The sequence below is a fragment of the Homo sapiens genome, chromosome 18 (assembly GCF_000001405.40).
Source record: "Homo sapiens chromosome 18, GRCh38.p14 Primary Assembly".
NCBI lineage: Eukaryota > Metazoa > Chordata > Mammalia > Primates > Hominidae > Homo > Homo sapiens.
In genome coordinates, this window is record NC_000018.10 from 32,390,371 (window position 1) to 32,403,936 (window position 13,566).

Consider the following 13,566-nt stretch of genomic DNA (forward strand, 5'->3'; position numbering starts at 1 on the left):
TGTTGAAAAAATTGAGGAAGACAGCTTAGAACATTCAGACACTCATGACCAGCGATTCATTCTATTTTGTTTAATGGCAAATGATCTCATGAACTATTTGGTCCTATTTCAAGCTTTTCTTTCTTTAATGTATTTTCTCTCCTTTATGTTGAATGATGTGATCTTAGTGCCCATGTTTCCTCTTAAGTCTTGGCACCTCAATTTCATTTTTAAAAATGTATCATTTGCAACATAATCCGTCACCTTCCTTATGGATCAAAAGCAAGCTGCTCAACAATATCACATCTTTCTTCCCAATGGAAGCTGGATGGTTCTTTTAAAAAGAAGTTCCAAACACCAAAATATTTACAAATATTTGTGTGTGTTTGAGGAAATCTTATCTCACATTGTGGATGCTCATTCTAGAACAATGGGTTCCCAACACTGGCTGTATATTTTAACCATGGGGGAGCTTTTAAAATTCTGATATCCAGCCAACACTCCAGACCAATTAACTTCTGGAGGTAGGACCCCACATCAGTCTTTTTAAAGTTCTCCAGGTGAATCCAATGTATAACCAAGTTTGAGATCCCTAAGTCAAACACCCATAGCCACAAAGAATTTTCTTTTGAGTACAGATCCAAAGGCTTCAGGTGTTTTTTAGAATTGGTATAACTTGTTAAGGACTGTACAGTCCAACTGGTGAGTGTGTACACAGGAAAAGGTAATTGAATGAAGACTGAGGACGTGTGCTAAATGAATGGGACACATCAGGAGACCATGTGGGGCTGCGGAGGACGGCTGAACCCTCCTGATGAAATGATGAGCTGAGGGAGGTAACTCCAGCTAGCTAGAGACTGTGTAAATGGAAAAGTGTCTAGTATGTTCAGGAAACAGTTAGACGACTAATGTAGCAAGAGTGGGAGGTTCACTCTTCGGAATAGAAAAGATCAGTTTGGAGAAGTAGACCAGAACCAGCCTCTGGAAAGCATTCAACAACAAGTCAAAGAATCTAGCAGCAGGATGCAGTCTCTAAAGGGGTTTGAGGAAGTGATAAAATGAGGGCACTCTTTTGGGAAGACTGATTTGACAGAGCTTTTCACAGCGCTTTTGCGGGAAAGACTAAAACGTAATTTCCTCATAGATGAATACAGCAGATTAGGTAAAAGTATATAGGATGAAGCAATGTAGCAATTTACCTTTCTTTCCAGTTTTCCACAAAGACAGAAACAGAATTTGGACTTGCTAAAAGTAGCATGTATCTCACTACTAGTAGGAACCATTCTGATGACAGAATGGGTAGGGTAGGGGGTTTGTTTCATTCTCTGCCCCTGTGAAAACTGCCCCACTTGCCTGAGTTACAATCTAACAGATGTAATGCTTTCTACAAGTATACATTTCTCTTTTTCCATGAAGGCTACTCTTAGGGCTAGGAAATACAATTCTAGAGGACAAAGTTTTAGGCCACAGAAATTCTGTCTTATAATTTTTTTGAGTAAGAAGGATTTTTGAGAAGCTAAGTAATCCCTGGGTCGTATCAGCATTTGAAGATTCCCAGGAATCAAAAATGGTACCAAACTATTCATTCATTCATTAAATATTCATCAAACAAATACCATTTACTGTGTCTAGACAGTGGGAATACAGTAAGGTCCCTTTTCCAAATAATAACTCTCTGTGCATTGTAAAGGGGTTATTCGAGAACACAATGGCAGTCTAGGGCTACACAATTTATGGTTAGTTGATTAAGGTATTCTGAACAGACTTGGAAAATATTGAACAATACTAGAGAAAAGGCTAAGATCCTTTATATAATGTATTATAAGTGCCGGAAAAAGCATATGGTAACATAAGTTTTTTTTTTTAATGGCATTTATAAGCTATCACTATTTAAAGCTTATTTAAGCCACTAGATGTATCCCAACCTCCTAGAACAGTACTGGCACACAGAATATACTCAATAAAAATCAGTTATATGGCACTATTGCATTGAGTCGGGTTCAAAGTGAGGTGAGAAGGCAGGTATTACACTCATTTAACTAAAGTAGTGAGGGCATCTCAGTTGCCTGTAATCTAAATGCCTATTGAAAGGAGAGACATATCCAGGTATATGAACTACCAATCCAATACTTTTAAACCCAGACCACAATGTTAATTTGTGAGACGGAATCTTGTGAAATCTTCACAAAGTCATTCACAAAAGCAATGTTCAAACTGTATACAGGATTCCTCAGAGACATGACCCCCTGAAGTTCTGAGGTTGGCTACATGTATTGATTTTAATTCCAAGACAATAGAGGTGTTTTATTTGTAAAATTTCTATCTTATAAATACCTAATAAGAATCCTCATTTAACTACATGCATTAATTAGAAATACTTCTAACAAAATGAATCTGAGCTTTCACTGATCAATAACCACACACAAATGTTTGATTCTCTAAGTCATTCTACTTTCTAGTTTACAGACAATTCTTAGAGGAAAAGTTTAGCTATTCACATCCCCTTTCTCTCGCTGCCTCATCTTGGCCCTTGGAGGAGTCTTACCTGCATAATGTACCGGAATCTCTATCTTTGGCCCAATGACATAGTGACCCTCCTCCAAGCTGTGGGCAGTGATGGTGGTCCACTGGCGGCAGGAATGAATCAGCAGATAGTCATTTTCCCGCAGCCCTTCTACGCACTCTCCTAGGAAATACAATTTTATATGAGAAACTTAGAATTCATAATCTGCTTTCTCCATACTTTGCAATAAAATTTCATTAGTTAAAACTTGACTAATGCAGAAGTTGACAGTTCATCCCAAGATGAGATAAAGTTTACCTCTGAATTGTTTTTTTTTTTTTTTTAAAAAAGGGTATTCCACACCAAGCTGACAACTGTACATAGAAGTCCATAAAAAATGTTTCCCACTCATTTGCAAATAGCTATTCAAATATCACATTATACCTAAATGATTATGTTTTAATGATAATAAAACATTTATTAAGTGCCTAGAATATATTAGGTACTGTTTAGATGCTTTGCATATACTATTTCATGTAATAAGATAACTTTAGGAGGTAGGTAAAAGGTAATGCTCCTTCTTTACAGGTGAGAAAAATCAAAGTTTGAAATGTTAACATGTCTAAGCTCACAGATTTAATAAACTGAAAAGTGAGGATTCAAAGCTAGGTCAGATAGATTGAAAGCTTATGATTTAATCACCACAATAAAGCTACAAAAATAAATAATCTTATCTCTGTTGAAAGAGTACTTGAAATTAAATACTCACAGTTCCTTTTAAATTTTATGTTTGCCAATTTTCTCTGGCCTCCTACCAAACTTCCCGATCAATTAAAAATAATGATTTATAGCATACAAATGAAATTTCTTTTCATTTTAATATTTTCTGAAGTATCTTTTCGGCATTTGAACGGATGACAAACTATTTCAAAAGAGAAATTCATTTCCTGAAACTTAAAAGATGTTTTTCTAGATGCTGAAATAATCCGTTCCATTAATCCTAGTTTAGTAATTTTCAGTGCTCAATGAAAATATCTGAAAAGGCTAACTTTTTATACAGAAAACAGCCTTATTTTGACACTATATTACAGTAATTAAGTTATTAGTGATTTAACTGTGTTTTGAAATGGCATTTTAGATCTCTCAAAAATTCTTAAAAATTTCAGTACTTTTTCAATAAATAGAAGAGACTGTAATGATCAACTTGGCTATCCCAACCTAAAATGTCTAATTTGTTTCCAAAACAGTAATGCAACAATCTTTAAAACAGTCTTGGCCTGGCATGGTGGCTCATGCCTATAATCCCAACACTCCAGGTGGGAGGATGGCTTGAGTCCAGGAGTTTGAGACATGCCTGGGCAACATGGCAAAATCCCATCTCTACAAAAAAAATACAAAAATTTGTCGGGTGTGGTGGCATATATCTGTAGTCCCAGCTACTTAGGAGGCTGAGATAGGAGGATCGCTTGAGCCCGGGAGGTGGAGGCTACAGTGAGCTGAGATTGTGCCACTGCACTCCAGCCTGGGTAACGGAGCGAGACCTTATCTCAAAAAATAAAAAATGAAATAAAATAAAAAGGTTAAAACAGTCTTAATGCAGGAATACTTTATAGTGCAAAATACAAAGAGTTAAAAAACTTTATAAGGGGACAGGGAGAGAAAAATAGATCTGGAAGTGGAGGTACATTAGCAGAAGGGGGAGAATCCAATTCATCGGGGGGATTTTTCAAACCAGACTATGCTGCCCATCACCTCTTGAGAGGATGTGGCCTGGCTTTTTCAGAAAGATACTGCCTGGGGGCCAGTGGTACTCATGAGCCCTTTGTATCCCTCAACCACCTTAGGGCAGGAAGGAAAAATCTAGAACTGCTGCTCCAAAGGAGAAATCATGCAGCCCCCTGCTGAGCATATGCACAGTAGGCAGGAATTACAAGCACCAGGTTTAGAGTCCCATAGACCTGGTCTCAAGCGATGTTCCGCTACCCACCATGGTGTGGTCTTGGGCACGAACCTCCTTCTTTCACCTGTGAAATAGTTATTAATACAACAGGCCCTGCTGCACAGAGTGGATGTGGAGACACACAGTGAATGGAAAGTGTGTAGCACCAGTTCTAGCAGGTATTAGCAGTGATCAGGACACATAAGCTACTGATTTTATGGTATGCTTTTTTCCCTCTAAAACGTAATCCTTCTATAAATATTGTAATTCAAGTTATATTAACCTTTAAAAGTTAGGAAATGACCTTCAGAGGAGTTGAGAAACTTGCTCAAAGCTGCACAGCATAGTAAGTGGCAGAAGCTGACTTTGGGGTCTCTCTCCATCTCTCTCCTGCTCTTCCAATGCCACAATGTCTCTTACCTTGAAAAACACTGACAATAATCCAAAGAAAGGGGAAAAACTGACCTTTGGCTTCAAGTTTCATTCATTCACTCAACCAATATAACAAGCACTGTTCTGAGTGCTAGGCGCATACGGGTGAACAAACCCAAGATCGCTGCCCTAGGGCACTTACTATTCAACAGGGAGAAGACAGCCAATACCAATAACAAAACTAAGTAATTAAATTACAAATTCATTCGAAGGTGAGAGATGCTGGGTGGGGGAAGTAATGGGTAAGAAGATCAGGATTATATAGAACAGGGGACAGTTCACACATTTATTTTTAACAAGTCCAACAAACATTCATTCATTATCCAACAAACATTTTTTATCTTTTATGCAAAAGGCAATGAGGGAATGGGCAAAAATATAAAGAAGACTTAGTCCCTACATTCAAGAAGTCATTCTTGAGAGTGAGGTGGGTTCATATGTAATTTTACATTAGAGAAGCCATGATGAGTGCTACGCAAGAGGAATGAGAAATGTAGAGCACCACCTATGGGGGCAGGGCATAGCCGAACAAAAGGCAGCAGAAACCTCTGCAGACTTAAATGTCCCTGTCTGACAGCTTTGAAGAGTGTAGTGGTTCTCCCAGCACGGAGTCTGAGATATGAGAATGGACAGACTGCCTCCTCAAGTGGGTCCCTGACCCCCAAGTAGCTTAACTGGGAAGCACCCCTGAGTAGGGGCAGACTGACACCTCACATGGCCGGGTACCCCTCTGAGACGAAGCTTCCAGAGGAACAATCAGGCAGCAACATTTGCTGTTCAGCAATATTCGCTGTTCTGCAGCCTCCACTGCTGATACCCAGGCAAACAGGGTCTGGAGTGGACCTCCAGCAAACTCCAACAGACCTGCAGCTGAGGGTCGTGACTGTTAGAAGGAAAACTAACAAACAGAAAGGACATCCACACCAAAACGCCATCTGTATGTCACCACCATCAAAGACCAAAAGTAGATAAAACCACAAAGATGGGGAAAAAACAGAGCAGAAAAGCTGAAAACTCTAAAAATCAGAGCACCTCTCCCCCTTCAAAGGAACGCAGCTCCTCGCCAGCAATGGAACAAAGGTGGACGAAGAATGACTTTGAAGAGAAGAAGGCTTCAGATAATCAAACTTCTCTGAGCTAAAGGAGGAAGTTCGAACCCATTGCAAAGGAGATAAAAACCTTGAAAAAACATTAGACGAATGGCTAACTAGAATAACCAGTGTAGAGAAGTCCTTAAATGACCTAATGGAGCTGAAAACCATGGCACGAGAACTACGTGACGAATGCACAAGCTTCAGTAGCCGATGCGATCAACTGGAAGAAAGGGTATCAGTGATTGAAGATCAAATGAATGAAATGAAGCGAGAAGAGAAGTTTAGAGAAAAAAGAGTAAAAAGAAACGAACAAAGCCTCCAAGAAATATGGGACTATGTGAAAAGACCAAATCTACGTCTGATTGGTGTACCTGAAAGTGACAGGGAGAATGGAACCAAGGTGGAAAACACTGTGCAGGATATTATCCAGGAGAACTTCCCCAATCTAGCAAGGCCGGCCAACATTCAAATACAGGAAATACAGAGAATGCCACAAAGATACTCCTCGAGAAGAGCAACTCCAAGACACATAACTGTCAGATTCACCAAAGCTGAAATGAAGGAAAAAATGTTAAGGGCAGCCAGAGAGAAAGGTCGGGTTATCCACAAAGGGAAGCCCATCAGACTAACAGCGGATCTCTCGGCAGAAACTCTACAAGCCAGAAGAGAGTGGGGGCCAATATTCAACATTCTTAAAGAAAAGAATTTTCAACCCAGAATTTCATATCTAGTCAAACTAAGATAAGTGAAGGAGAAATAAAATACTTTACAGACAAGCAAATGCTGAGAGATTTTGTCACCACCAGGCCTGCCCTACAAGAGCTCCTGAAGGAAGCACTAAGCATGTAAAGGAACAACCAGTACCAGCCACTGCAAAAACATGCCAAATTGTAAAGACCATCAAGGCTAGGAAGAAACTGCATCAACTAACGAGCAAAATAACCAGCTAACATCATAATGACAGGATCAAATTCACATACAACAATATTAACCTTAAATGTAAATAGGCTAAATCCTCCCATTTAAAGACACAAACTGAAAAATTGGATAAAGAGTCAAGACTCATCAGTGTGCTGTATACAGGAGACCCATCTCACATGCAGAGACACACATAAGCTCAAAATAAAAGGATGGAGGAAGATCTACCAAGCAAATGGAAAACAAAAAAAGGCAGGGGTTGCAATCCTAGTCTCTGACAAAACAGATTTTAAACCAACAAAGATCAAAAGAGACAAAGAAGGCCATTACATAATGGTAAAGGGATCAATTCAACAAGAAGAGCTAACTATCAAAAATATATATGCACCCAATACAGGAGCACTCAGATTCATAAAGCAAGTCCTTAGAGACCTACAAAGAGACTTAGAACTCCCACACAATAATAATGGGAGACTTCAACACCTCACTGTCAACATTAGACAGATAGAGACAGAAAGTTAACAAGGATATCCAGGAATTGAACTCAGGAATTGAACTCAGCTCTGCACCAAGCGGACCTAATAGACATCTACAGAACTCTCCACCCCAAATTAACAGAATATACATTCTTTTCAGCACCACAACGCACTTATTCCAAAATTGACCACATAGTTGGAAGTGAAGCACTCCTCAGCAAATGTAAAAGAACAGAAATTATAACGAACTGTCTCTCAGACCACAATGCAATCAAACTAGAACTCAGGATTAAGAAACTCACTCAAAACCGCTCAACTACATGTAAACTGAACAACCTGCTCCTGAATGACTACTGGGTACATAACAAAATGAAGGCAGAAATAAAGATGTTCTTTGAAACCAATGAGAACAAAGACACAACATACCAGAATCTCTGGGACACATTTAAAGCAGTGTGTAGAGGGAAATTTATAGCACTAAATGCCCACAAGAGAAAGCAGGAAAGATCCAAAATTAACACCCTAACATCACAACTAAAAGAACTAGAGAAGCAAGAGCAAACACACTCAAAAGCTAGCAGAAGGCAAGAAATAACTAAGATCAGAACAGAACTGAAGGAGATAGAGACACAAAGAACCCTTCAAAAAAATCAATGAATTCCAGGAGCTGGTTTTTTGGAAAGATCAACAAAATTGATCGACCACTAGCAAGACTAATAAAGAAGAAAAGAGAGAAGAATCAAATAGACGCAATAAAAAATGATAAAGGGGATATCACCACCGATCCCTCAGAAACACAAACTACCATCAGAGAATACTATAAACACCTCTATGCAAATAAACTAGAAAATCTAGAAGAAATGGGTAAATTCCTGCACACATACACCCTCCCAAGACTAAACCAGGAAGAAGTTGAATCCCTGAATAGACCAATAACAGGCTCTGAAATTGAGGCAATAATTAATAGCTTACCAACCAAAAAAAGTCCAGGACCAGATGGATTCACAGCTGAATTCTACCAGAGGTACAAGGAGGAGCTGGTACCATTCCTTCTGAAACTATTCCAATCAATAGAAAAAGAGGGAATCCTCCCTAACTCATTTTATGAGGCCAGCATCATCCTGATACCAAAGCCTGGCAGAGACACAACAAAAAAAGAGAATTTTAGACCAATATCCTGATGAACATTGATGCAAAAATCCTCAGTAAAATACTGACAAACTGAATCCAGCAGCACATCAAAAAGAAGGCTTATCCACCATGATCAAGTGGGCTTCATCCCTGGGATGCAAGGCTGGTTCAACATACGCAAATCAATAAATGTAATCCAGCATATAAACAGAACCAAAGACAAAAACCACATGGTTATCTCAACAGATGCAGAAAAGGCCTTGGACAAAATTCAACAGCCCTTCATGCTAAAAACTCTCAATAAATTAGGTATTGATGGGAAGTGTCTCAAAATAATAAGAGCTATTTATGACAAACCTACAGCCAATATCATACTGAATGGGCAAAAAACTGGAAGCATTCCCTTTGAAAACTGGCACAAGACAGGGATGCCCTCTCTCACCACTCCTATTCAACACAGTGTTGGAAGTTCTGGCCAGGGCAATCAGGCAGGAGAAAGAAATAAAGGGTATTCAATTAGGAAAAGAGGAAGTCAAATTGTCCGTGTTTACAGATGACATGATTGTATATTTAGAAAACCCCATCGTCTCAGCCCAAAATCTCCTTAAGCTGATAGGCAACTTCAGCAAAGTCTCAGGATACAAAATCAATGTGCAAAAATCACAAGCATTCTTATACAACAGTAACAGACAAACAGAGAGTCAACTCATGAGTGAACACCCATTCACAATTGCTTCAAAGAGAATAAAATACCTAGGAATCCAACTTAGAAGGGAAGTGAAGGACCTCTTCAAGGAGAACTACAAACCACTGCTCAACGAAATAAAACAGGACACGAACAAATGGAAGAACATTCCATGCTCATGGATAGGAAGAATCAATATCGTGAAAATGGCCATACTGCCCAAGGTAATTTATAGATTCAATGCCATCCCCATCAAGCTACCAATGACTTTCTTCACAGAATTGGAAAAAACTACTTTAAAGTTCATATGGAACCAAAAAAGAGCCTGCACTGTCAAGTCAATCCTAAGCAAAAAGAACAAAGCTGGAGGCATCACGCTACCTGACTTCAAACTATACTACAAGGCTACAGTAACCAAAACAGCATGGTACTGGTACCAAAACAGAGATATAGACCAATGGAACAGAACAGAGCCCTCAGAAATAATACCACACATCTATAACCATCTGCTCTTTGACAAACCTAACAAAAACAAGCAATGGGGAAAGGATTCCCTATTTAATAAATGGTGCTGGGAAAACTGGCTAGCCATATGTAGAAAGCTGAAACTGGATCTCTTCCTTACACCTTATACAAAAATTAATTCAAGATGGATTAAAGACTTACATGTTAGACCTAAAACCATAAAAACCCTAGAAGAAAACCTAGGCAATACCATTCAGGACACAGGCATGGGCAAGGGCTTCATGTCTAAAACACCAAAAGCAATGGCAACTAAAGCCAAAATTGACAAATGGGATCTAATTAAACTAAAGAGCTTCTGCACAGCAAAAGAAACTACCATCAGAGTGAATAGGCAACCTACAGAATGGGAGAAAATTCTTACAATCTACTCATCTGACAAAGGGCTAATATCCAGAATCTACAAAGAACTCAAACAAATTTACAAGAAAAAAACAAACAACCCCATCAACAAGTGGGTGAAGGATATGAACAGACATTTCTCAAAAGAAGACATTTATGCAGCCAACAGACACATGAAAAAATGCTCATCATCACTGGCCATCAGAGACATGCAAATCAAAACCACAATAAGATACCATCTCACACCAGTTAGAATGGCGATCATTAAAAAGTCAGGAAACAACAGGTGCTGGAGAGGATGTGGAGAAATAGGAACACTTTTACACTGTTGATGGGACTGTAAACTAGTTCAACCATTGTGGAAGACAGTGTGGCGATTCCTCAAGGATCTAGAACTAGAAATACCATTTGACCCAGCCATCTCATTACTGGGTATATACCCAAAGGATTATAAATCATGCTGCTGTAAAGACACATGTACACATATGTTTATTGTGGCACTATTCACAATAGCAAAGACTTGGAACCAACCCAAATGTCCAACAATGATAGACAGGATTAAGAAAATGTGGCACATATACACCATGGAATACTATGCAGCCAGAAAAAAAGGATGAGTTCATGTTCTTTGTAGGGACATGGATGAAGCTGGAAATCATCATTTTCAGCAAACTATAGGAAGGACAAAAAAACAAACACTGCATGTTCTCACTCATAGGTAGGAACTGAACAATGAGAACACCTGGACACAGCAAGGGGAACATCACACACCAGGGCCTGTCGTGGGGTTGGGGGGAGAGGGGAGGGATAGCATTAGGAGATACACCTAATGTAAATGACGAGTTAATGGGTGCAGCACACCAACATGGCACATGTATACATATGTAACAAACCTGCACATTGTGCACATGTACCCTAGAACTTAAAGTATAAAAATAAAAAATAATAATAAAGACTAATTGAATATAAAAAAGAAATAAAAAGAAGACAGATGTAGAAACTTAATAACTGCTAAGTTTTTTTAAGTACTTACTATGTTCCAGATAATGGTCTTAAAAAGAAAAAAAAAGAAATGTAGAGCAGAGATCGAGACTTCAGCAGAGGAGATCAAGAAAAATGTGAAAGGGCAAATACAGCATGTGAGCTGCTCTTTCTTTGAAGAATGAGTTGGGCTTAGATAAGAGAGAGGCAAAGGGGAACCACTGAAGGGTTTTGGATGAGAAGATGGCCAAAGCTCTGCTTTAGAAAAATTAATCTGGCGGAACTCTAAAAGATGGATTGGAGAAGAGAGAAACCAGAGCCATGGGGCGTATGCAGAAAACCCAGAGGTAGAACACACTGCCATTCGGGGGAAAAAAATGTTGTTTTCCGCAACTAAATTGTTGTATCATAAAAACTGTTTTAATTTTATCCCACAGTGGGCTCTAAAGAGGCAGCCAAGAAACAACTGCAGTCAAGTTAATCAAAATGAAAATTTAATGTTAAGTCCTACTGCTAGCTGGTGTAGTAAACACTCCAGCAAGAGGATTCAGAATGATTTTTAAAGCCATAAAGTAGTAAGAAACCAATGCTTATGTCTTTTTTTATTTTAACTGAGCTGTGTGCCTGCTTTAGGCAAAAAAAGTTCCAGAAAAACTGTCTAGAAATAAAACTTAATATAATCACTTAAAATATCCTAGGGTAGGCCACTAATAGAGACATTATACTAAATGAATTCATAAAGTAAACAATTTTGTGACATAATTATTCTGTTGCTTAACTACTACATATAATGTACTAAAATTTATATATTTAACTCAACAATGTAGTAATGAGACATCTAAAAGAAGTGCATGTTAAATTCCAAAATATGTAAATGCCATCCTGAAATTTCCCCACATTTAACATGCTTCTGGGATATGCTTGGATTTTACTTGCCCCATTTGACCTTGATCCTTTCAACATTAAGTCCTACCTACCTCTAAAAATAATTTTTAACACTAGGATAACTAGAATCCATGAAACCTTCAAAGTTAGTCTGCTTAAAAAAAAGGATTCAATTTCAAAATCCAAAATAAATATTTATAAAGTGGACATGCACAAATGGGTAATTCTCTTTTCTGCTCTTTTGGCTTCTGTGCCAACAGATCTCCTGAGCCACTTTTCTGATCCCTCCTTGCTATTTTCTCTCAGTGCTTTCTCCTTGACATTTGCCATAACTGTAGGAGCTATCGAGGCTCCACCCTTAGCCTGTTCCCCCTGTCTCCTCTACAATCTTATATATTTCTCAAGGATTCAATTAGTTGTAGACAACTCAAAATCCTTGTTAATACCAGCTGCTAACTTTTATTCGGAGTCCTATTCTGGACTTTATTTCCCACACATTTTCTAACTAGATATCCCCCTGCCCTTCATTAGGCATCATATATTCAATCAACACACACTTACTGAGGGTCAATTATGTTCTAGGACCTGGAAACTTGGTAATGAACCATGTATCTGTGCTCGTGGAGTGGACCTTTTGGTTGGATTTTCAATCTTTTCTTTCCTTCTTTTTCTTTTATTGAGACAGAGTCTTGCTCTGTTGCCCAGGTTGAAGTACAGTGGTGTGATCTCAGCTCACTGCAACCTCTGCCTCCCAGGTTCAAGTGATTCTCGTGCCTCAGCCTCCTGAGTAGCTGGGATTACAGGCGTGCACCACTACACCCAGCTAATTTTTGTATTTTTAGGTTTTGCCATGTTGGCCAGGCTGGTCTCAAACTCATGGCCTCAAGTGATCTGCCTGCTTCGGCCTCCCAAAGCGCTGGGATTACAGGAGTGAGCCACTGTGCCTGGCCTCAATCTTTTCATTCTCCTAATGTATTTAAATATTGCTGCAGATAACATTTTAAAAAATGAAAATGTAGTACTACTTACATGCCTTCAACAATTCCATTCATACAGAATGGGGCCCTGAGTCCAATACTCAAGGTCCCCATGATTTACTTCTAATAGTTTACCACCTTATGTTACCCCCTCCCGCTCCCAACCTACACAAAACCCAAAGGGACTGTTCTCTGTTTACACATATGCTGTACTCTCACTTACACGAGCCCTCTGCTCACTTCAGTTTCCTTGCCTTGGCCTTTATCTCTCAACCCTTATTTACCCAGTTCCTCACCCTAACTCAAGTGCTACCTTTGTGAATGTCTTCTTGATCCTAATCTTTCTTTGCTTTTGTTTTGAGATAGGTTCTTGCTCTGTCACCCAGTCTGGAGTGCAGTGGTCCAATCACAACTCACTGTAGCATCAACCTCCCAGGCTCAAGTGATCCTCCTCCCTCAGCCTCCCAAAGTGCTGGGATTACAGGTATGAGCCACTGTGCCCAGCCCTGGTCCTAATCCTACTCATTTAAACTGCAGTGATTTTATGGCTTTGCTTACAGTCTATGCTGAATTTATAGGTTTGTTTTAGAGCTATGAGTACGTGAATCTTAGATCAACTTTTTAATGTTTATGTATTAATATTTAAAGGCCAACACAGTAAAAATAACTTAACCTGTAGAAATTACAAGCATTTTTTTCCAT

The 13,566-nt window shown here is 39.0% G+C and overlaps 1 protein-coding gene across 5 annotated transcripts in view; it reads right to left on the reverse strand.

The window, feature by feature from the left end:
• Nucleotides 1-13,566, reverse strand: part of GAREM1 (GRB2 associated regulator of MAPK1 subtype 1) — a 207,361-nt gene that overhangs the window by 126,849 nt on the left and 66,946 nt on the right. For 4 of the 5 annotated variants that reach the window (NM_022751.3, NM_001242409.2, XM_024451234.2 and 1 more), the window contains exon 2: nt 2,525-2,665. In NM_022751.3, coding sequence (NP_073588.1) covers nt 2,525-2,665 — 141 coding nt within the window. Of the gene's footprint in view, nt 1-2,524; nt 2,666-13,566 lie in introns of those variants that run through there. The other variant, XM_047437739.1, reaches the window with a different exon arrangement.